This window comes from Homo sapiens, chromosome 4, assembly GCF_000001405.40.
Source record: "Homo sapiens chromosome 4, GRCh38.p14 Primary Assembly".
Classification (NCBI taxonomy): domain Eukaryota; kingdom Metazoa; phylum Chordata; class Mammalia; order Primates; family Hominidae; genus Homo; species Homo sapiens.
The window spans coordinates 21350682-21376732 of record NC_000004.12 but is presented as its reverse complement, the minus strand read 5'-3'; the positions used below and the strand labels follow the sequence as shown (position 1 = coordinate 21376732).

Below are 26051 nucleotides of genomic sequence, written 5' to 3'. Positions count from 1 at the left end.
TATTCTCAAGTCATGAACAAATGAGTTGTGGAGACCAGCAAAAAGGCAAACGTAACACTGATAATAAACTTCATGATACAGGTCTGAAGGGATGCTTTAAACAGATTAAGAGCCAGTAATTTAACAGATGTGGGAGATGGAGACATTTAGAACACACCTCCTTAAAAAGCATATACTTGTGATGAATTTTGAAGGATAGGCAGTAACTAGCTAACTTGAATGACTGGGGAAGAATGAATGTTCAGAAGGAAGAATACTGTAAATGAAAAAACATGGATTACTGAAAGATCTGGCTATGTTTAAGAAACTACAAATAGGCTTACGGGGCTGGCAATGCTTTATGGCATCATGCTAGCATCCAAATCTCGGATCCAGATCATGGAAGAACTTGCATACCATCCTAAGATTCTTAGTTTTATCTTGAAGGGAGTAAATGGAAACCATTTCTACTTTAAGGAAAACTAATGCGTTACACTTTGGAGAAGATTATATTAGGTTTCACAAAATTTTGCAAGTGTTATCTTTTTAAATTCCTTTTTAACATACAAGTTTTATCTGCCACAGAGGTTTCAAAAGAAGAAAAAACAAGTTGTATAATAATAATTTAGGCAGAAGATATTTCTGTGCTTTTCTTTTAGAGAAAACACAAACATTTCCTCCCAAACTTAAGATACTCTGGGGTAAAAGAAGTCAAAAGTTTAGACTGTAATTTTCAGGAGGTGAGAAACTCTCTATCCACCTTGATTCCTGGTGTGTTTCTGAAATTCCTTATCTCTTAGGAGGGAGACTCTGCCTTGAAAGGTACCTTTTTGAACGTGAGTATTTTTCACTCCTCACAACTGTATCAAAAAGGGTAACAATGGCCAGGCCAGGCACGGTGGCTCACGCCTGTAATCCCAGCACTTTGGGAGGCTGAGGCGGGCCAATCACGAGGTCAGGAGATCAAGACCATCCTGGTAACACGGTGAAACCCCGCCTCTACTAAAAATACAAAAAAAATTAGCTGGGCGTGGTGGCAGGCGCCTGTAGTCCCAGCTACTCGGGAGGCTGAGGCAAGACAACAGGGTGAACCTGGGAGGCGGAGCTTGCAGTGAGCAGAGATCGCACCACTGCACTCCAGCCTGGGTGACAGAGCGAGACTCTGTCTCAAAAAAAAAAAAAGAAAAAAATTCACAAAAAGGGTAACAATGATAATTGTAATTATTTGTTGTGCTCTTAATCAAATGCACTATACCCCTGGACCTATGCATTTGACATATATTTTCCCATGTTATCTTTACCACTATAGTGTAAGTACATTATTAGCCCCTCAGTTTACAGATGAAGAAACTGAGGCTCAGAAAATACAAGTAAATGGCCCAAGTCAATGGGCCAGCTTTACTGGGAAGTGAGTCTGCTATTTGAACCCAGGCTGTTTTTATTCTACAGTGGAGGGACTCAGTTTCAGAAGACATTCTTGGATGCAATTGAACACACATGTCACACCCTTTTAGACTACAAGACTCAGGGTTGGACAGAATGTAAATGAAAACAATAAACATAAAAGGCTACATTCCATGGCCTTTACGACTAATGCACCTCTAGAAATTTCTGCTTTTGAATACTTGAGTAACCTATTTGCAAGCTGTTGGGAAATTTAAATCTGCATGAAGTTTGCACACACCCTCTAAATTATCACACTAAATGCTTTTTGTTCCCCTATTACCTCCGAATTCTCTACCACTTCTTTTGTGTTCCTGATGTTTAAGGTTACTTTTAAAAATGAATATGAAATAAGCTGTATTTCTTCTGTCATTAGGGTACTGATGGTATAAATAAGTCCAAGAAATGCTTTCCATGGCTGTGCCCTCTGCACAGGAATGGGGAGCATGCCTGAGGCTCTCTGCCCAGCTGTCACCAAGCTACACTCCATTCCCAGGAAGCCAAAGCCAGTATATCTGGGAGTATCTAATGTCTCCCTAATACCAGTGTAGTTCATGGGGAATGTCAAGTAGACATCAACCTGATCCTTCATTTTATATAAGATACATTTGTTATTCTCATGTTGATAATGAAAAGACCAACCATTGATGAAAATAAACTGCCATCATATTTTAAAACACTCTATTAAGTTATCATGCCCATACCATACAGTTCACCTGTTGTTGCCTTCATTTTTTAAAACTTGTAATGAAGCTCACTGATATGATTTAGCTATGTCCCCACCCAAATCTCTTGAATTGTAGCTCCCATAATTCCCATGTATTGTGGGAGGGACCTGGTGGAAGATAACTGAATCATGGGTATGGTTTCCCGCATACTGTTCTCATGGTAGTGAATATGTCTCACTAGATCTGATGGTTTTATAAGGGGAAACCCCTTTTTCTTGGCTCTCATTCTCTCTCTTGCCTGCTGCCATGTAAGTTGTGCCTTTTGCCTTTCACCTTCCGCCATGTTTGTGAGGCCTCCCCAGCCACATGGAACTGTGAGTCCTTTACACCTCTTTTTCCTTGTAAATTAGCCAGTCTTGGGTATGTCTTTATCAGCAGGGTGAAAATGAACTAATACACTCACCTATTGTGGTTAGTCATGTTGGTTTACACTAGCAAGCACCCCCTAGGTGTTCTTAATATCGATGTAGCAATCCTTTCTCTATTGCAATTGTTACAGTAATTCTGCAAAGTATTTGTGGTGGCATTTTACTAACATAGTGCTAATGTTGCTTCTATTCTAAAAATGAGAAACCCTAGGCTGGGTGTGGTGGCTCACACCTGTAATCCCAATACCTTGGGAGGCCGAGGTGGGTGAATCACTTGAGGCCAGGAGTTTGAGACCAGCCTGGCCAATATGGTGAAACCCCATCTCTACTAAAAATACAAAAAATTTGCTGGGTATGGAGGAGCACCTGTAATCCCAGTTACTCGGGAGGCTGAGGCATGAGAATTGCTTGAACCTGGGAGGCAGAGGTTGCAGTGAACAGAAATCATGCCATTGCACTCCAGCATGAGCAACAAGAGTGAAACTCCATCACAAAATAAATAAATAAATAAATAAACAAGATAAAATGAAAATGAGAAACCCAACCTTTATGAAGATTATATGACTTGTTGATCATTACACTGGGCCAGAACCTGGCCATGAACCTTTGTAGTTTGGCCTTAAATTTTTTGGCTCTTCTTATTGATATCAAATAACATGACAATATGAAATGGAATCGGTTCCCAAAGGAAACCCCAACTGCTATTACCAAAAGAAAAGAAAATATCTGCTGAGAAAACCAAACACTAGATTTCTACAACACAAACTTCTGTAAGTCTCTCAGACCTTTTTAGTTGAAAGTTGTATTAAATTGTCTACTCTATCTCTCTACTTTCTAAAATCTCACTAAAATTTTTTTTATATTTTATCTTTGTATTTTAAGGATATTCTTTTGTTGAGACAGATTATGTATTACCCAGGCTGGCATGAAGTGGCATGATGATAACTCACTGCAACCCTCAACTCCCAGGCTCAAGTGATTCTCCTGCCTCAGCCTCCCAAGTAGCTAGGACTACAAGTGCACACCACCACAGCCAGATAATTTTTTACATTTTTTGTAGAGACAAGGTCTTGCTGTGTTGCTCAGGCTAAAGATATTCTTACAGGATTATTTACCATTAGAAAATTTTTTTTAATCTGTTCACTGAGCCATTTTATCCAATCCATTAAGACTAATTAATGGCCAAATTATGTTTAAATTATATTTTCTGCCCAATAATCTAGTAGGCATCCAGTCACTTAAATTAAATCCTATCAACACAACCATATGAGGCACAGCTAAGTTTCATATTTACCCACCTACCTGTCAAATTGGGAATAAAATTTTACTTGTGAACTTGATTAACACTCTTGTATTCACTCCTCACTATTTTGAGATATTCAGTATTTTGAGAACTGAACACAAAAACTGCCTGATCTAGTATCTAATTATTATGTGATAGCCTCTTTTGGCTTTTTTAGTTCATATTCCTTGTAGTAATTTTGGATTAAAGGATGAGATTTCATGAATTTGCTAGATACCTTTCAACATCAATTTGACGAAATATCTTAATGCTTGAGAGTTAGATCTGTAGTTGCAAAACCAAATAAGTGATTTTTCTCACGTTCACCTTAGTTGCAGATATTAGCTATGTATTCCCAAACAGTGTAGAATCTATGATGACTTTTTAGAAACCTACCTGCTGTAATCTTTAACGCATGAAACAGAACTGAATTTAACAAGCTATTTAACAAGGAAAAGCAATATGTTGTATACACACACATACACACATATATATACACATCTATATCTATATCTGTATCTGTCTGTCTGTCTATCTAACTATCTATCTATCTATCTATCTATCTATCTATCTATCTATTCACCAAACTGGAAAACTTGAAAAAAGAACTCTCTATCCAGTTTGATACATTGAATATACAGAAACTTTAAAAAATGGAATTTTCAGATAAATTATAAATGGATACATAAGTAGCAATCTGCTCTCATGATAGGTGAGATAAGACTCTATTTATAATTTGGCCTTCTAGAAAATGTAAAGACTCCTGAAGTACGATGCTGTGTTCTTTTTTTCTGAATTCTTCCATATGTTGATGTTGCTGTCCATTCAAATAACTAATTACAAAGAAATGATCATTAATCAAACATTCTTCTGAAGCACCAAATTTTGTTTCTAGCACATTGTGGCTTATAAAATATGAAAATTTGGTAGCAGTATGGAGATCCCCATTGTGTTTATTTACAATATATATGTGTTTGTGTGTGTGTGTGTGTAAGCTACTCATAAATATCCTATTTCCACAGCTCAACTGCTTAACTGTTGAACTTTAAGAGCTATTTTGATTCTTATATTATCTCCAGGGTTAGTCTAGATGAATTCTGTTATAAGCCTTGACCTTTAAAATGATGAATTTGAATATTAGAGATCAATATTTAGATTTACATAATATAATCAGCCTCCTGAAATCATAGTGCTTTCAATCATGTTTCTTTCTAGTACATTCCATACATCTGGAACCAATCTCTTACATCCTCTCCAGGTTCCCAAGATGCTATATAGAATAACAACTAACATTTAGTGAGAACAATGTGTGTCAGGCATACAGGTAATATTTTATCCATATGATTTAATTTCATTTTCTTTATGAGGAAATTACTATTATTATCTTTATTATATCAAGTGATTAGATAGCAAGAAATTAGGGATCATGCTCAAGCTCACAGAGATAGTATGTGATAGAGTGTGCACCTGGTAAGCAGATTGATTCCAGAGCCTTTTAGATATAACTCATATTTTCCTTTCTTTCCCCCAGAGGTGTCTGCCAGCACACATCTTCAACTGGTTCCCCATCTGCCAAAACTATTCCAATTCTGGGTCATTATTACTGTTGACCTTCTTGCCTACATTGTTCTTTCTTTTACCTCTCATGTATTCAAATCCCATAAATGCCTCAAAGCTCAGCAGAAGTTTCACTTTCCTGGTGAAACTTATTGGAATATTTCATTCCTGTACCTAAAACCCTTAAAGATCCTCATTTTTACTAGCACAAAGTCCAAACATCTATGCCTGTAATGGAAGAGCCTTCAAGATTTGGTTCCTATACACCTCTAATTTAATCTCTGGCTGAATTGCCCTATTTGACCTCAAACACTCCCACCTTCACCCCTACCCCCACCAGACATGCACAAGTTTCATACATCAACCATATTTGTGAGCTAGATCCCTACCCCTTCCACTGCTCAAAGATTTGGCTCTAGAATTCTCCTTTTCCTCTCTTGCATTGCTAGTTTCTTTTTCTATGTTCTGCTAATACACACACACACACACACACGTGTGTGTGTGTGTGTGTGTGTGTGTGTGTGTATATATATATATATATATATATATATATATATATATATATATATATATATTTCAATCCATGACCTCCTGTCTGTTCCTCCAACATGCCAGTCATTTTTCCTTCCTGGGTCTTTGCAAATGCTACCTCCTGTACCTGGCAAGCTTTTCTGCTAGATATCCCAAATGGCTCACTCTCAGCGCTTCAGAGCTTATATGTCCGCATATCATCTTCTTGGCTAAGCCTTCCCTGACTATCCATTTAAAACCAGAAAATCTCCCTACTTTCAACCTACTTTGATGTCTTCTCTGCTTCTTTTTTTTTCTCAATAGCACTTAGAACATAGGTTTTTATACTTTATTATATGTTGTATATATTACTTTATAATGAACTTCTTAATCATGTGTTTTTAATTTTACTTTGGGTGTCTCCCTCCCAGAGAATGGATAATAAGGTCCACGTTGGCAGGAATTTTAGTCTATGTTTTACAGCCATGCACCTTCAGTACCTAGGAAAGATCCCTGACATGTAATGGACCCTCAATAAACAATTTTTGAATGAACACTGAATCACCTCATATTTTCTAACTGGGCCACATAGTTTGATTTATTTTTGTCACTTTCCTTACTGCTTCCTGTGTCTTTAATACACCTCAATATCTATCTACTTAAAAATGGGTGGTAATCTTTTAAAATGTAGCTTAGAGGCAGTCTTCTTAGTTTTTCCACATTAAGAATAACTTGGGTTGGCCGGGTGCAGTGGCTCAAGCCTGTAATCCCAGCACTTCGGGAGGCCGAGGTGGGAGGATCACGAGGTCAGGAGGTCGAGACCATCCTGGCTAACACGGTGAAACCCCGTCTCTAATAAAAATACAAAAAATTAGCCAGGCATGGTGGCAGGTGCCTGTAGTCCCAGCTACTCGGGAGGCTGAGGCAGGAGAATGGTGTGAACCCGGGAGGCAGAGACAGAGCTTGCAGTGAGCAGAGATGGTGCCACTGAACTCCAGCCTGGGTGACTGAGCAAGACTCCGTCTAAAAAAAAAAAAAAAAAAAAAATTATTTGGGTTAAGGTCTCGGCCCTTCCCTTTCTTAAATGCATGACTCCAAACAACAAACTGCATTTCTTTAAGCCTCACTTTCCTCTTTTGTAAAATAGAGGTAATAATAGTTCTCATTGGAATTAAATGAGATAGTAAGTAAGTGCTACAACTACTTAGCTCAGCATCTGAACATCAGAAAATCTCAACAAATTACATTCTTCTTTTAAAAAAATTTTTAGAGACAGGGTCTCACTCTGGCACCCAGGCTGGAGTGTAAAGGTACAATCATGGCTCACTGCAGTCTCAACCTCCTGGGTTCCTGAGACCCTCCCACTTTGGCCCCCCAGAATGCTGGGATTACAGGAGTGAGCCACCATGCCCAGCCAACTACTATTAGTATTCTTGATTCCCTTATCCCTAAACGATGGTAGAACTAACCATTCCACATTTATCACACTTGTGTAAAGTCCCTACTAAACTTCTGGAATCTTTTAGAGGGCAAGAAATATATCTTATTAATCTTTATATCTTCAGAACATAACTGTAATTTGGTACCTGACATAAAAGCTTTAATGTTAATATTGATAACCATCATTTATTTAGTGTTAATTTTGTACCAGATACTGTGCCTAGAAGTCTATAAACGTAATTCTCATAACACTACCATTAAGTATATTTTAATTATTTTTCCATTTTAGGAGACTCAATCAGGTTACCTTAATTTCTCAAGACCATTCAGCTAGTAAGTGATAAAACAGGAGCTAGAATTTAGGTCTACCTAACTGTAAGATTTTGCTCTGCATCCCTTTACTGCAATCAGAAAGGATAGGTAGATGGATGGATGGATGGATTGACAAATGAATGGATGGATGGATTAGTGGATGAATGGATTTATGGATGGATAGAAGGACAGATGAATGAAGACTGTTCTTGGCCATTCCAAATTTTGCCCTGTTATTCTTTCACCTGTATAATCCAGAACATACATAGGTTGTGCTGCAATGTGTTAGCAATTAACCACACAGTAACTAGAATTATATCCATTATTTTTTATTCAACTTAAAACTCCTCAAGGAAAGGGTGATATTTCTTAATTAAATTGATACTATATGAGGCTCCCCTCTGCTCTAAGAATAATTGTTGACTTTTTAGGGAAAATCTAGGTAGTATGGTACGATAAGTAACTTCACAGGCTCTAGAACCAGACTGCCTACATCTATTTGGCTACATCACTTAGTATTTGTGTAACCTTGGGCAAATTACCCAACCTTACTGGGCCTTAGTTACCAAAGCTGCAGAGTGAAGATAATATTGGACTAATAATTGGATTTAGTATAAATGGTTGAGAATCATGCATGTAAATTTTTTTGAACAGGACCTGGCACATATTATGTGTTCCATACATTTTAGCTATTTTGGGGGGAGTGTATGTCTCCCTTACATAAGCACGTGTATTAGATACGATTTTCTAAATCACAAATGGTCTTAATGTCATAAGAATAACCTTAAACCACAGATTTGAACTTTATTTTTATGTGTAGTGTAGTCAGTATTGTCAAACTAACGTCATATTTATTGTGTGTGTGTGTGTGTGTGTAACAGCTTCTTAAATTCTAGTCATTCTAATAAGATTATTTTATGCAGTGTTTCCATTAATCACTGCAACTCAGTAGGTATCACTACCCTAATCAAAGTGTATTGTAGAGACTCCCCAACTAAAAGTGATAGAGCTGGAATTCAAACTCACATCTTGCTGAATCCAAATCCCACCCTCTTTTCACAACTCCAGGCTGACCACCTTGTTTCACCATTTTGTCTCAGCCTGGCAAGAGGTGTTGAGAGTTAAACATGGGTACGCTTTATTTCACAATCCCTGCAAGATACAAACACTAGCTCCAAACCTGCCTGTATAGGTAGTCTCTGGGGAACCACTTGCATTTTTGCTATCTCGAATCAAATACAGCAGACATGGAAAGATGTCATATTGCAAATCCTTCCCAGAGATTCTGTGTTTACACGCTAGTGACAACTTTGCCTTTGCATATGTAGACTTAAAAAAAATCCCTGACAGGTAAAATGTAGTGATGTGTCTTCTTTTAACAGGAACTCCTACACAGATGTATTTCCACCAGAGCAAACTCCCCCATGGAGCCATGATTTTCCATCAGGATTTTTCTGTTTGACACAGTTGCATGGGTTGGGTGAAATTCTTATCAAAATTCCACTGGAATGATGAACATACTTCAAATTATAAAATTCTTCTCAATATAAAATGTATGACTTGCTAAGAATAAATATCCTGACCCAGCCTTGGTTTTGATCTTCCTTTCAAGCTCTTGAAAGGCAATAAGTATGTCCAGTTAGGTAGAGTCTCCAGCATACAGGACAGTGCTTGGCTCAGACCCTAATGAAGAAAATAACACTAAGATAGGCAAATAAAGGAAGCAGCATACAACAAGATAGAAAAGAATCAAGTGGGTGCAAAAAGGTAGAAGTAAGACAAATCAGATACAAGAAAACAGGTTATGTATCTACTTTCCCAGTCCATGCATGTTAATTTGGTCAAAAGGTAAAGTAAGATTTTGTCTTAGTCTATTCATGCTGCTACAACAAAAAAAACCTGAGACTGGGTAATTTGTAAACAATAGGAAGCTATGTTCTCACAGTTCTAGATGCTGGGAGTCCAAGAATAAGATGCCAGCAGATTCAGTGTCTGATAAGGGCTGTTCTCTCCACTTTTAAAATGGCACCTTGAGTGCTGCATCAGAAGGGAAACGCTGTGTCCTCACATGGCAGGAGGGCAGAAGAGAGCCAATCACTCCCTCAAGCCTTTTTAAAGACCCTGATCTCATGAGGCTCTGTCCTCATGAGTTAATCACCTCCTAAATGCCTCAGCTCTTAATACTAACACATTGGTGATTAAACTTCAACATATAAGTTTTAGGAAATACATTTAGACCATGACAACCCCATTTTTAGTGCATAATTGACATAATAAACTGGAACTACCTCTCTCCCTCCCTCCCCTCTCTCTCTCTTTGTTTCTCTCTCCCTGTCTCTGTTTCTCTATTTCTCTCTGTTCCTCATTCTACTGCTTTCTAACTGGGTAAAGACCAGGTACTATAGAGATAGGATTTATTGTTGTTGTGTTTTTTTCCCTCATCCCTAGTCTTACAGCTAAATTGGGTTCTCCTCAGCTTTAGGATAATAGCTGTTTCTCCTAGCTCAAGGGCTAGCATGTGTAACCTGTCTTTCACCTTCTTGAGCTAGCTAGCCCAAGTACTTTTTGCAGTCCCATCGTTAGTGCTCTGTCTGTTCTACTCTGGCAATTACTGGCTTTGTTCTTTTAAGTGCCAGAGCAAGAATCTTGAGCTCTCTTACCACAGGAATTTCCTTTTTGTTTTTCCTCTGCCTTTGTTTTTCTTCTGAAGACAGGGCTGCAAAGATTTCCATATGAGGAAGAGGCAATTGCTGGCATGGCTGAAAATTTGGTAGGATTCATAATCACTGCGTTGCATGCAGCATCCTCTGCGGGTTGTAGGCTGGAGTATGTTTTTTTTATTTTTTTAAAGAGGATAGCTCCTTGTCTGTCAAACCAACCATGTAATAGCTATATCTTTGCAGCAGCTGAGATAGCTGACTGAGCTCCACATATTCACCGGTAGCGTTCAAGCCTTATTTATCAGAGAATGCATTTTAACATTAGGAGAAATTGTCACTACGTTTAAACATATGTGTGAAAAGTGCAATTCCTAAGCCTTAAATCTAATGCTTATATCAAAACACTATCTATGATAGGATCATCAAGCATACCATTCTGAACATCACCATGGCCACATAGTTCACACCAGTTAATCACTTATTCATAGTTTGAGCTCAGCCTGAGTGGTAAGCATGAGAAAACAGAATAGCAGAACAATCTGCATAAAAAATTAACACTTGTAATTTCAGATATTTCAGAATGTAAGTATTCTTGAGTTTGGTAGACAGATATGAGCTGCTTAAAACTGGAATATGAACATTTCCTTAATGGACAAAAACATATCATCCTGATCTCAGGCTTCAAATTATTGCTAATCTGTATATTTTCTATTCTGAAGGTGTTGTAGATAAATTTTTGCTGCCAAGGTTAATAACAACAACGGGAACAGAATAAATAGCTATTGGGTGAGAAAACAAAATAGAATAAGAAACAAACTGCAGATGGCTTCAAATAAATCACATGTAAATATGATGGAAAAATACAACTGTTTTAGGTACAGGAAAGATTTGAAGTATTTTTTTTTCTTTTTCTTTTCTTTCTTTATTTTTTATTTATTTATTTATTTATTTATTTATTTATTTATTTATTTATTTTTTGAGACAGTCTCACTCTGTTATCCAGGCTGGAGTGCAGTGGTGTGATCTTGGCTCACTGCACCCTTCAGGTTCAAGGGATTCTCATGTCTCAGCCTCCAGAGTAGCTGGGATTACAGGTGCACACCACCATGCCCAGCTAATCTTTGTATTTTTAGTAAAGATGGGGTTCCATCATATTGACCAGGCTGGTCTTGAACTCTTGACCTCAAGTGATCCGCCCACCTCGGCCTCCCAAAGTGCTGGGATTACAGGCATGAACCACCGCACTGGCCTTTGATGATTTCAATATAATCTGGAAAATGAAGTTAGTATTTAACACATAATTGCATATTTGGATTTTAGAGATAATCATGTTAGTCTTTATCCCCAAATACTTTAATATCTCCCTTTTACCCACCATAGATTTCAAACCCTTAGGAGAAAACTCCTTTCTCCTTTGATATAAACTTGGCTTTTCCAGTTTTCCATTCCATCCTGCATTTCTGCAAGATTGAACGAATACCATAATTCCTCATCTTCTTTCCCTTGCTTTCCTATCTTTATATTCACTTGCAATGTCCTTTTCTGACTTTATGCAAAGGACCCCAACCATCGAAGTCCAACTCATGTACTTTTTCTTCTAAGATAGTTGCCTCTAACAAATAGTACTCTTCATACTATGAAATCACCCATATTTGTTATTTATTTCTCATTGTTCTTGTCTCATGTTATCTTTCACTACAGTTAATTTGGTTTGTGTGTCCTTATAATCTATTTGATTATATGGCTCTTGAAATTTCCTTTAGCTTTTTCTGATATCTACTGTTCCATAATATAGGTGCATTGACTTGTCATTTATTTATTCATTCATCAATTCGTATCATTAAAATAAGTGCTATATTGTAAAAAGAAAAAAAAATTATCATGAGATACTATCCTAACTGAGGTCCTTCCATCTTTAACCGGTGGATTACATGTTCTTTTTTTCATCCAACACATGTTTATTGTTTCCTATGCATGGGAAACAATTTCTTCTGCCCAAATTTGTTTTCTCAAAACAATTTATCTGCACTACTGTTATAGCTCTGATGATGTTATATAATAGTATTCTGCCTTCTATAAATTTCTAATATATTCCTCTTGGCAGAAACCATGCCATTCAGTTTTAAACTCCCTGTACCTAGCACTGAACAGGCTTTCAATAAATATCTGCTCAATAAATATATGGTTTGGATGCATTGATAGGTGTAAGAGCAAATGCGTAAATGAATTTAGGAATTTTCAAAAAAGAAAATAATATGGTTGTTGTAAGCCTATTATGTTTGGAGGCAGAAATTCCACTTGAGAAACAATCCTTGTAAGCTAATGTTACAGAAATTAAGTGTTAACAATGAGAATTGTAAAAGAGGGATCATCAAGGCAGAGATAACTTATGAGGCTCACATTTTCTTAGAATAAAGATAAGTAACTTTTAACCTATAAGCTTAGCTCCATTCCATCCTTCCAGCCACCAAAACCCAAACACTCATGCTTTATCAGATATCTTGGGGCTCACAGTGGTACTCGAGAGCTCTTTCTATGCCCTGAGTATTTACTTTCTGATTTGGAAAATTCATGTTATTAGCATTTGGGATCACTGTAGCTAATCCTTATACTTCCTTGAGTGCTATGAAAATGCTATGGAGAGAACTCCTAAGTATGTTCTTCAAATCCTTAAGAACTTTTATTTCAACACTAAAATGAGGGCAGGAATGATATCAAGCTTTGGATTCTCTTTGAGCTCCTGTTGTTTCACACTGATAGTGATGATAGTCAAAATCATCATCTTTGAATTACAAGGGCCACAAAGTACATATTAAAAATCAGTAATTATGTTTTACTGCCCAGCTTGCCACTGAGAATTTGAAAAATTCAATTTGCCTACTTCCCAAAGAGCTATGTAGTTTGTAAGCACATTATAAATTTTTATTTTACAGAAGAAAATGATGAAAGCACCTGGTGATTTCCCTAATGTTGATGCAGTTGGTTACAAAGCAGGCCTTCAAACACTCCTGGTTCACTTTGTCATGAAGATATGTCTATGCTACAAGGATAAACCCCTGTGAGGCTAGGTAAAGGTTTTGAGTGTATCTCTTATCTATATTCATAGAGATTTGGAGCCAGAAACAAGCCTGAAGTGATGTCCAAGAGAAGGGATCACAGCTAGATCTTGAGAGGTATACCTAACTAGGTAGTTCAATGAAGGAGAGCCACAGGGCTGTGGCAGTCAAAGGCCAGAGGGATGGAAACACAAGGACAAGAAGAGAGAATGTAGAATCAGACAAGCATTCAAATCATGACTTCAACTTCAGTAGCTACTGTATGATCTTAAACAAGTTTCTAAACCTCTCTGAGGCTCTGTTTTCTCATTTGCAAAAAGGAGATAAAGAAAGAACTCATCTCCAAAAGCAACTATGAGAATTCAGTGAGATTCCATGTATAAAGTACTTAGTACTTTATCTCAGTGAATGATTACCATCGTTATTAACTATAATAAAATGGGTGAGCTGGAGATATGGCTAAATAACAGATGCAAGAATGACAATTTTTTCTTATCACTCCATTGTAGTTCTCCTATTTGCTCCCTGAGTTGTGTTCTGTAGACAGGAAGGATGCATATAAACGGCGGGATAAGGGCTACCTAGTCTGCATTTCTAACTTTAATTTCATCCTTCAGTTAAACAATATACAAGAATATTTCTTCCATTTCACATGCAGTGAGGATGTCTGTATCACTTCCACAGAAGGATGTGACTGTCTACCTGGCTGTACTCCTGAGACAATGAGTTCATTTGTGCAGGGGAGGACAAAGACTGAACGTGTTTTACTTTGGGAAGGGGAGTTTTTTTAATTCAATCTTTATCTCAACCCCAAGAGGAAGGTATTCATAATCTTGTTTTCCAGCTATAACTGAGGTTCAGATATAATGTATTCTACCCAAGATTACCTAGCTAGAACTGGAAGAAACATAATTCAAATCACATGTCTTAGACTCCAAAGCTCATACCTTTTCTAATACCACTAGTTTTGCAAAATTAATGATTTTTAGTGGTTCTTCCTTATTATTTCAATTTTATGAACAGCAGTTGGCAGAATGGCAAGTTCTGGGTCAGGAGACAAGGTTCACTGCTTTCGTGACCATGAGGTCTGTCTCCATGTGGAGCCAGCTTCTTGGCTATTCTGCGGCTCCCTCTGCCATAATACAGGGTTCATCTGCATAATTTTCTAATAAGTGATATAGCTTCATTATGAAACTGTTCATAGTATGTCAGCTTGAATTTTACATATTTCTTTGTCTTCCCTAGACAACAGGAGCTGAGTGTGCAGTTAGACTATTTCCTCGAATTGTGCATTTTATCAGAGCATATCCCAGCCTTCTCCCCTCTCCTCTTCATTCTTGCATGGGTACTGTCTTGCTTACCCCAGCAGGTATCTAATTTGCAAGTGGTTAGGCAGGCACTTCTTTGGGGTTTTGCTAAGTGAGTTTATTCTCTGACGGTGTGACGGGTTATAGAGGAGTTTTGAAAAGAGAAGGAAGAATTTGGAGCTCACAGCTGCCTTTACTCCTGAAGGACAGTATAAATTCCTGCTAATTTTAGTTACAAATATGAACTCTTTAGGGTTATGATAAGTGCAACGTAGAATATGTATGCTGTATGCTGTTATGTTACTTTATAAATTTTCTAGGATTACAACCCTCGGTTTGTCATTCTTTTTTCTCTTTGTGATTCTTGGAATTGATTTAGTTGCTATGGGAAAAAAAAAGGAGAATGAAAAAAAAAACAATCTGAGAGACTTTAGGATTTAAGATTCCAGACAGCTTAAAAATTGTAACTAGTTCTCTAGGCACAGCTAGAGAACCACTTGTTCCTAATTGTACCTAGTTATCTAAACAAAGTAAACTTTAGCAGGATTTGCAAGTCAACAAATCCTTTTAGAAGCCAGACACTAATAAGAGTAATTTTTTTTTTAGTATTAACTGTGTGCTAGATAATGTCTTTCTTTTAGCAAAGTCCACTGTAGCAGAGATTGCTGATACAAATATTGTCAGGGGGCAGATAAGAACAATGACTAACATTTCTTGAGGATTTTCTAAGTGCCATTTCCTGAGGTAATTGCAGGTAGTATTGCATGTAATCATTATGATTTCATTATGATGAAATAGGGACTGTTATTATCATCATTTTATAGATGGAGAATCTGAAGAATCAAAAAATGAGTCAATCAGCTAACAAGTTATAAGGTAAGGTCACCAACCAAGACAACTGACTCCAGTGCTTGTCTTTAACCCTAAGCTTGAGTACCTTCTACATGTCTAGATTATCTAAGAATAAGTCAGTAATGAGTAATTTCAGAATAAGAAACTGGAAAATAGAGGACTGCTTAAAGCATTTAAATTAAATGATGATGATGATGATGATGACGATAATGATGATAAATGTTCAGAACAAGAAAAACACATATTTGAGCCAGTTTACACCTCTGGGTTGCCAGGGTGTAGCAGCGGATGCTGATTTAAAGCAAAATTAAATGGATTTGTGGACTTGAAACTTGCAAATAATTCTGGGGAATATTGACACCTGGCCTCTTACTTGAGAGAATTTGAAAATAATTGTCCTGTTGTCTAAACATGACCGTTTAGGCAAGGACTGATAATTTCAATGTAAAAAGTTGGGTCTATTTTTAGGCTGTTTCACCTACGTTTTTATGAATAACATTAATTTGAATTTTTTTAACATATAAAAGAAGTGGTGGTGCACTGTGGGGAATTTTTAGAAACACAATCTTCTTTTTCCATTAGAGGCTGTTTGAAGAATATGATAAGGTACATGAAGAAGGTTCATTGTTAGTTTAAAGAAACCCATTAATTTTCATTGTATTCTCATACTTTTAAAAGATAATGACACACTGGCTAGGAATACTTCCTGGACAAAAAAGACAATTAAATATAAAAGAGGTTTTCCCCACAGCATGTCACTTCTTCAAAAAGAAGACTTCAAGAAACTAAAGACCAAAATCAACATTCTTTTTAAGAGTTCTGAATTACTTTTACTTCAATAGATAAGCAAGCCTCTTTATATTCTTGTTTTTTGTCGCTGTTGGTTTGGAATTAGGTAAGATACAAACAAAATTTATTATTAAATGATTTTAATTTTCTAATACATTCACAAATAGAATATAATGGATAATTTATCAAAATTATTTTTGTTGTTCAAATAAGGATAGTCAATGATTCCTAATAATTCTTGATTATTTTTATTAGCATTTTCTACCAGAATCAAATAAGTACAAGGTCATGTCTATCAATCAGTAAGAGATTAGATATCTCTTAATTCTAAATTCTGAAACAACAGTTTAAATTTTGAGACAGGAGTTACACGCACAGTAGAGCTCAGTACCTATTTTTGAATGAATTTATGAATGAATGAATGAGTAGATGGATCTAATGTCAACTATTTGCAAATTCTTGTTCTTGCACACAATCCCCTTCTCAGATTTAAATCTCATTTCCTTTATAATACCATGTTAGTGGCTGGTAATTCAGTGACCAATTTTCTACATTATATTTCTTCATCTTATATGAATTGCAATAAATGCACAATAGAATTGATTCATTCATCTTATTTCTTCATAATACTCTCCAAGAAATGTTTGACCTCAGGACCAATTTGATTGCCAAGAACACTATTTCACTGTGTGGTTACAACTGCATCATGAGCTGATGACATAGTTAAAAGTCAAGACAAGAAACTCACCATAGGAAACATTTATTAGAGTCTTGTTTCAAAGATGAGTTTAAGAGAATGGAACTACCTTAAACAGTCTTGAACATTTTCAGTGTTATTTTATATATTTTCCTGATTTATTTTTAATATCCAAAAAGAGAACCAGGGTACAGTGTTTACAGTGTGATAATTATCCTGTAAAATTTACAAATACTTATGGCCTTTCTTACTCTCATTCGGTTTATGATGCCTGATAGCATGGGCCACTGTATTAGGATTCTCTAGAGAATATAATATATACATATCATACATCATCATTTATATAATCATACATAAAATGAGAAACTGGCTCACATGATTATGTAGGCTAAGAAGTTCCACAATCTGCTATCTGCAAGCTAGAGAGTCTAGGATGCCAATGGTGTAATTTAATCTAAGTCTTCAGGCCAGAGAACCAGGGGAGCAGAGGGCAGGAGAAGATGAGAAGAAATTTCCCAGCTCAAGCAGTGAAGTAGAAAATAAAAGGAGATGTATTTCTTTACCTTTTGTTCCACTCAGGCCTTCAGTGAATTGGATGAACCCCACTCAAATTGGGAAGAGCCATTTACTTTACTGGGTATACCTATTGTAAACCCCAAAATCTAAGACAGGTCTTAGGAAGTTTATTTTGCCGAAATTAAGGACACACAGCCATGACACAGCCTCAGGAGGTCCTAATGACATGTGCCCAAGGTGGTCGAAGCACAGCTTGGTTTTATACATTGTGGGGAGACATGAGACATTAATCAACATATATAAGATGAACACTGGTTTGGTCTGGAAAGGCAGGATAACTCGAAGCAAAGGTAGGACAACTTGAAGGGGAAGGGTCTTCCAGGTCATAGGTAGATAAGAGACAAATTATTGCATTTGTTTGAGTTTCTGATGAGCCTTTCCAAAGGAGGCAATCAGATATGCATTTATCTCAGTGAGCAGAGGGATGACTTTGAATAGAAAGAGAGGTATGCTTGCCCTAAGCAGTTCCCAGCTTGACTTTTCCCTTTAGCTTAGTGATTTGGGGGCCCCAAGATTTATTTTCCTTTCACACTGTTCAAATCTCATCTCATTCAGAAACACTCTCACAGACACATCCAGAAATAATGTTCAATCTGGTCACCCTATGGCTCAGTCAAGCTGATGCATAAAATTAACAATCTCAACTGCTTTGCAGTTTGCATATCACTGTTTTGGTCTTGTTTGAGCTATGTAATAACTCTCTGAGTCAAGTAGACCAAATATTGCTCTGTGGTAATCATGAATCAAATAAGGTTCGGAGGATCTATTTGATTATGCACAACTAAGCATGTGCTTAACAAGTGTCAGAGACAGGACCCGAATCACTTTTTATTTTTGTTTAGGATTTTTTTTATTATTATTATACTTTAAGTTCTAGGGTACATGTACACAATGTGCAGGTTTGTTACATATGTATGCATGTGCCACAGTGGTTTGCTGCACACATCAACTCGTCATTTACATTAGGTATTTCTCCTAATGCTATCCCTCCACCAGCCCCCCACCACCTGACAGGCCCCGCTGTGTGATGTTCTCTTCCCTGTGTCCAAGTGTTGTCATTGTTTAATTCCCACCTATGAGTGAGAACAGGCGGTGTTTGATTTTCTGTCCTTGTGATAATTTGCTGAGAAAGATGGTTTCCAGCTTCATCCACGTCCCTACAAAGGATGTGAACTCATCCTTTTTTATGGCTGCATAGTATTCCATGGTGTATATGTGCCACATTTTATTAATCCAGTCTATCATTGATGGACATTTGGGTTAGTTCCAAGTTTTTGCTATTGTGAATAGTGCCACAATAAACATACATGTGCATGTGTCTTCATAGTAGCATAATTTATAATCCTTTGGGTATATACCCAGTAATAGGATGGCTGGGTCAAATGGTATTTCTAGTTCTTTATCCTTGAGGAATCACCACACTGTCTTTCACAATGGTTGAACTAATTTAAACTCCCACCAACAATGTAAAAGTGTTCCTATTTCTCCACATCCTCTCCAGCATCTGTTGTTTCCTGACCTTTCAATGATCACCATTCTAATTGGTATGAGATGGTATCTCATTTTGGTTTTGATTTGCATTTGTCTGATGACCAGTGATGATGAGCATTTTTTCATGTGTCTGTTGGCTGTATAAATGTCTTCTTTTGAGAAGTGTCTGTTCATATCCTTTGCCCACTTTTTGATGGGGTTGTTTGACTTTTTCTTGTAAATTTGTTTAAGTTCTCTTTGTAAATTCTGGATATTAGCCATTTGTCAGATGGGTAGATTGCAAAAATTTTCTCCCATTCCATAGGTTGCCTCTTCACTCTGATGGTAGTTTCTTTTTCTGTGCAGAAGCTCTTTAGTTTAATTAGATCCCATTTGTCAATTTTGGCTTTTGTTGCCATTGCTTTTGGTGTTTTAGTCATGAAGTCTTTGCCCAAGCCTATGTCCTGAATGGTATTGCCTAAGTTTTCTTCTAGGGTTTTTATGGTTTTAGGTCCAAAATTTAAGTCTTCAATCCATCTTGAATTAATTTTTCTATAAGTTGTAAGGAAGGGATCCAGTTTCAGCTTTCTACATGTGGCTAGCCAGTTTTCCCAGCACCATTTATTAAATAGAGAATCCTTTACCCATTTATACTTTTTGTAAGATTTGTCAAAGATCATAGATTGTAGATGTGTGGTGTTATTTCTGTGGGCTCTGTTCTGTTCCATTGGTCTATATATCTGTTTTGGTACCAGTACCATGCTGTTTTTGTTACTATAGCCTTGTAGTATAGTTTGAAGTCAGGTAGCGTGATGCCTCCAGCTTTGTTCTTTTGGCTTACGATTATCTTGGCTATGCGGGCTCTTTTTTGGTTCCCTGTGAACTTTAAAGTAGTTTTTTCCAATTCTGTGAAGAAAGTCATTGGTAGCTTGATGGGGATGGCATTGAATCTATAAATGACCTTGGGCAGTATGGCCATTTTCACGATATTGATTCTTCCTATCCACAAATATGGAATGTTCCTCCATTTGTTTGTGTCCTCTTTTATTTCATTGAGCAGTGATTTGTAGTTCTTCTTGAAGAGGTCCTTCACATCCCTTGCAAGCTGGATTCCCAGGTATTTTATTCTCTTTGAAGCAATTGTGAATGGGAGTTCACTCATGATTTGGCTCTGTGTTTGTCTGTTATTGATGTATAAGAATGCCTGTGATTTTTGCGCACTGATTTTGTATCTTGAGATTTTACTGAAGTTGCTTATCAGCTTAAGGAGATTTTGGGCTGAGACGATGGGGTTTTCTAAATATGCAATCGTGCATCTGCAAACAGGGACAATTTGACTTCCTCTTTTCCTAATTGAATACCCTTTCTTTCTCTTGCCTGATTGCCCTGGCCACAACTTCCAATACTGTGTTGAATAGGAATGGTGAGAGAGGGCATCCTTGTCTTATGCTGGTTTTCAAAGGAAATGCTTCCAGTTTTTGCCCATTCAGTATGATATTTGCTGTGGGTTTGTCATAAATAGCTCTTAATATTTTGAGATATGTTCCATCAGTATTTACTTTTTTGAGAGTTTTTAGCATGAAGGGCTGTTGAATTTTGTCGAAGGCTGTTGATTTTTGTCAAAGGCCTTTTCTGCATCTATTGAAATAATCGTGGTTTTTGTCGTTGGTTCTGTTTATGTGATGGATTACGTTTATTGATTTGCGTATGTTGAACCAGTCATGCATCCCAGCGATGAAGCCCACTTGATCATGGTGGATAAGCTTTTTGATGTGCTGCTGGATTCGGTTTGCCAGTATTTTATTGAGGATTTTTGCATCGATGTTCATGAGGGATATTGGTCTAAAACTCTCTTTTTTTGTTGTGTCTCTGCCATGTTTTGGGATCAGGATGATGCTGGCCTCCTAAAATGAGTTAGGGAAGATTTCTTCTTTTACTCTTGATTGGAATAGTTTCAGAAAGAATGGTACCAGCTCCTCTTTGTACCCTGGTAGATTTCGGCTGTGAATCCATCTGGTCCTAGACTTTTTCTTGGTTGGTAGGCTATTAATTGTTGCCTCAATTTCAGAGCCTGTTATTGATCTATTCAGAGATTCAACTTCTTCCTGGTTTAGTCTTGGGAGGGTGTTTGTGTCCAGGAATTTATCCATTTCTTCTAGATTTTCTAGTTTATTTGCATAGAGGTGTTTATAGTATTCTCTGATGGTATTTTGTATTTCTGTGGGATCGGTGGTGATATCCCCTTTATCATTTTTTATTGCGTCTATTTGATTCTTCTCTCTTTTCTTCTTATTAGTCTTGCTAGCGTTTTATCAATTTTGTTTGGTCTTTTCAAAAAACTAGCTCCTGGATTCACTGATGTTTTGAAGGGTTTTTTGTGTCTCTATTTCCTTCAGTTCTGCTCTCATCTTAGTTATTTCTTGCCTTCTGCTAGCTTTTGAATTTGTTTGCTCTTGCTTCTCTAGTTATTTTAATTGTGATGTTAGGTTGTCAATTTTAGACCTTTCCTGCTTTCTCTTGTGGGCATTTAGTGCTATAAATTTCCCTCTACACACTGCTTTAAATGTGTTCCAGAGAATCTGGTACATTGTGTCTTTGTTCTCATTGGTTTCAAAGAACATATTTATTTCTGCCTTCATTTTGTTATTTACCCAGTAGTCGTCATTCAGGAGCAGGTTGTTCAGTTTCCATGTAGTTGAGTGATTTTGAGTGAGTTTCTTAATCCTGAGTTCTCATTTGATTGCACTGTAATCTGAGAGACAGTTTGTTATGATTTCTGTTCTTTTACATTTGCTGAGGAGTGCTTTACTTGCAACTATGTGGTCAATTTTGGAATAAGTGTGATGTGGTGCTGAGAAGAATGTATATTCTGTTGATTTCAGGTGGAGAGTTCTGTAGATGTCTATTAGGTCCACTTGGTGCAGAGCTGAGTTCAAGTCCTGGATATCCTTGTTAATCTTCTGTCTTGTTGATCTGTCTAATGTTGACAGTGGGGTGTTAAAGTCTCCCATTATTACTGTGGGGGAATCTAAGTCTCTTTGCAGGTCTCTAAGGACTTGCTTTAAGAATCTTGGTGCTCCTGTATTGGGTGCATATATCTTTAGGATAGTTAGCACTTCTTGTTGAATTGATCTCTTTACCATTATTTAATGGCCTTCTTTGTCTCTTTCGATCTTTGTTGGTTTAAAGCCTATTTTATCAGAGACTAGGATTACAACCCATGCTTTTTTTGCTTTCTATTTGCTTGGTAGGTCTTCCTCCATCCCTTTATTTTAAGCCTATGTGTGTCTCTGCAGGTGAGATGGGTCTCCTGAATACAGCACACTGATGGATTTTGACTCTTTATCCAATTTACCAGTCTATGTCTTTTAATTGGGGCATTTAGCCCATTTACATTTAAGGTTAATATTGTTATGTGTGAATTTGATCCTGTCATTATGATGTTATCTGGTTATTTTGCCCCTTAATTGATGCAGTTTCTTCATAGCATCGATGGTCTTTACAATTTGGCATGTTTTTGCAGTGGCTGGTACCAGTTGTTCCTTTCCCTGTTTATTGCTTCCTTCAGGAGGTCTTGTAGGGCAGGCCTGGTGGTGACAAAATCTCTCAGCATTTGCTTGTCTGTAAAGAATTTTGTTTCTCCCACACTTATGAAGCTTAGTTTGGATGGATATGAAATTCTGGGTTGAAAATTGTTTTCTTTAAGAATATTGAATATTGGCCCCCACTATCTTCTGGGTTGTAGGGTTTCTGCCAAGAGATCCACTGTTAGTCTAATGGGCTTCCCTTTGTGGGTAACCCGACCTTTCTTTCTGGCTGCCCTTAACACTTTTTCCTTCATTTCAACCTTGGTGAATCTGATAATTGTGTGTCTTGGGGTTGCTCTTCTCAAGGCGTATCTTTGTGGTGTTCTCTGTATTTCCTGAATTTGAATGTTGTCCTACCTTGCTAGGTTGAGGAAGTTCTCCTGGATAATATCCTGAAGAGTGTTTTCACACTTGTTTCCATTCTCCTTGTCACTTTCAGGTACACCAATCAAATGTAGATTTGGTCTTTTCACATAATCCCATATTTCTTGGAGGCTTTGTTCATTTCTTTTTACTTATTTTTCTCTAATCTTGTCTTCTTGCTTTATTTCATTAATTTGATATTCAATCACTGATATCCTTTCTTCCACTTGATCAAATCAGCTATTGAAGCTTGTGTATGCATCATGAAGTTCTTGGGCCATGGTGTTCAGCTCCATCACATCATTTAAGGTCTTCTCTACACTGTTTAGTCTAGTTAGCCATTCATCTAACCTTTTTTCAAGGTTTTTACCTTCCTTGCAATGGGTTAGAACATGCTCCTTTAGCTCAGAGAAGTTTGTTATTACTGACCTTCTGAAGCCTACTTCTGTCAATTCGTCAAAGTCATCCTCCATCCAGCATTGTTCCATTACAGGTGAGGAGCTGCGATCCTTTGGAGGAGAAGAGGTGCTCTGGTTTTTAGAGTTTTCAGCTTTTCTGCTCTGGTTTCTCCCCATCTTTGTGGTTTTATCTACCTTTGGTCTTGATGTTGGTGACCTACAGATGGGGTTTTGGTTGGATGTCCTTTTTGTTGATGTTGATGCTATTCCTTTCTGTTTGTTAGTTTTCCTTCTAACAGTCAGATCCCTCAGCTGCAGGTCTGTTGGAGTTTGCTGGAGGTCCACTTCAGACCCTGTTTGCCTGGGTATCACCAGAGGAGGCTACAGAACAGCTAATATTGCAGAACAGCAAATGTTGCTGTCTGATCCTTCCTCTGGAAGCTTCATCCCAGAGGGGCACCCACCTGTATGAAGTGTCTGTCAGCCCTTACTGGGAGGTGTCTCCCAGTTTGGGTACACTGGGATCAGGGACCCACTTAAGGAGGCAGTCTGTTCTCAGAGCTCAAATGCTGTGCTGGGAGAACCACTGCTCTCTTCAGAGCTGTCAGACGGGGATGTTTAAGTCTGTAGAAGTTTCTGCTGCCTTTTGTTCAGCTATGCCCTGTCCACAGAGGTGGAATCTATAGAGGCAGCAGGCCTTGCTGAGCTGTGGTGGGCTCCGCCCAGTTCAGGCTTCCTGGCTGCTTTGTTTACCTGCTCAAGCCTCAGCAATGGTGAACATCCCTCCCCCTGCCAGGCTGCAGCCTTGCAAGGCAATCCCAGACTGCTGCGCTAGCAGTGAGCAAGGCTACGTGGTCATGGGACCCACTGAGCCAGGCACAGGAGAGAATCTCCTGGTCTGCCAGTTGCTAAGACTGTGGGAAAATTGCAGTATTTGGGTGAGAGTGTCCCATTTTTCCAGGTACAGTCTATCATGGCTTCCTTTGGCTAGGAAAGGGAAATCTCCTGACCCCTTGCACTTCCTGGGTGAGGCGACGTCCCACCCTGCTTTGGCTTGCCCTCCGTGGGCTACACCCACTGTCCAACCAGTCCCAATGATATGAACCAGGTACCTTAGTTGGAAATGCAGAAGTCACCCATCTTCTGCATCGATCACACTGGGAGCTGCAGACCGGAGCTGTTTCTATTTGGCCATCTTGGAATGGAACCAAGATTTTTTTCTTTTTTTAGTGCTGTTAGGCAATAAAACAAGATAAAATATCTCTGCCTTGAGATGGATGGTTAGGGCTATTCGTAGGGTCATGCTTCAAGCAGTTTATCAATTATTCAACCAAATGGCCTCAGGACATAACTGATGTTATGGCAGAGCCTCAACTTATGATGTGATTAGTTTCAAGGCTGATGGTTAAAATGAAAATCACTATCATTAGTATGCTAGTTTGCTATAGCTGCCATCAAAAAATACCACAGACTGGCTGAGTTAAACAAAAGAAATTAATTTTCTCCATGTTCTGGAGGCTGGAAGTCCAAAATTTAGGTGTCTGCAGGTTAGAGTTCTTCTGGGACCTTTGTCCTTGGCTTGTAGATGGTCATAATCTCATATTGTCTTCAAATGGTCTTACCTCTGTGCATGTGCATGTCTGTGTCCTAATTTCCTTTTCTTATAAGGACACCAACCATATTGGATTAGGGCCAACCCTCATGATCTCATTTCACCTTAACTATCTCTTTAAATGCCCTATTCCAAAATATAGTCATATTCTGAGGTATGGAGACTATGGAAACTGTATTAGTATGTTCTCACACTGCTATTTAAAGACATATTCAAGACTGGGTAATTTATAAAGAAAAATAAGTGTAATGGACTCATGGTTCTGCATGTCTAGGGAGGCCTCACAATCATGGTGGAAGGTGAAGGAAAACCAAAGGCATGTCTTATATGGCAGCAGGCAAGAGGGAGCATGTGTAGGGAAACTGCTCTTTATAAAACCATCTGATCTCATGAGAGTTACTATCAATAGAACAGCATGGGAAAATCTATCCCCCATGATTCAATTACCTCCCACCAGGTTCCTCCTACGACATGTGGGGATTATTACAATTCAAGGTGAGATTTGGGTGGGGACACAGCCAAACCATATCAGAGACTTAGAACTTTAACATATAAATTTGAGGGAAACACAGTTCAGCCCATAATATTTAGGATGGTACTACATTTTAATTTACCAGAAGGCTCTTCATTTATGCCTGTCATTTCAGCCTAATTATCATTAATATCCTGTCTGACTCAAATGCTTTCAAATTTGTATGATAAATTATACAGTTATTTTACCTGTAGTCAAAATAATATTTGAAAATCCTTTAAATCACCCATAAAGCATAATGCAGATGTACCATTTCTCAGTAACTTCTCCACAGTCAGATTTTCTTCCATTATAAGATATAACAGTTTCTTCTTTGTGGTCATGTTGTATGAAAATGAATATTATTAAAAACTAGATGTCTAAATAATATGCTAGTATACTCTTACTCTAGCAGGTAAGTGGGAAGTGAGCATGACAGAGAAAGAAAAAATTCACTTCGCCCATGTTACACACATTTAGGGATGGGCATTAACTCAGTTGATGATGGGTGGTGTTGCCTGAGCAGAAATTTGTGGAAATCCTCATCTTAGCAC

The 26051-nt window shown here is 37.7% G+C and overlaps 1 protein-coding gene across 6 annotated transcripts in view, besides 1 other annotated feature; it reads left to right on the top strand.

Annotated features, from left to right (window-relative positions):
• KCNIP4 (potassium voltage-gated channel interacting protein 4) overlaps positions 1–26051 on the top strand; it is a 1220167-nt gene that overhangs the window by 572040 nt on the left and 622076 nt on the right. The window lies entirely within an intron of this gene.
• Positions 9978–10518: an enhancer, noted in NCBI's record as "OCT4-NANOG hESC enhancer chr4:21367838-21368378 (GRCh37/hg19 assembly coordinates)". NCBI's record gives its function as "activates a minimal SCP1, AML or CMV promoter by ChIP-STARR-seq in primed H9 embryonic stem cells {active_cell/tissue: H9 hESC(primed)}" and the evidence as "EXISTENCE:reporter gene assay evidence [ECO:0000049][PMID:30033119]".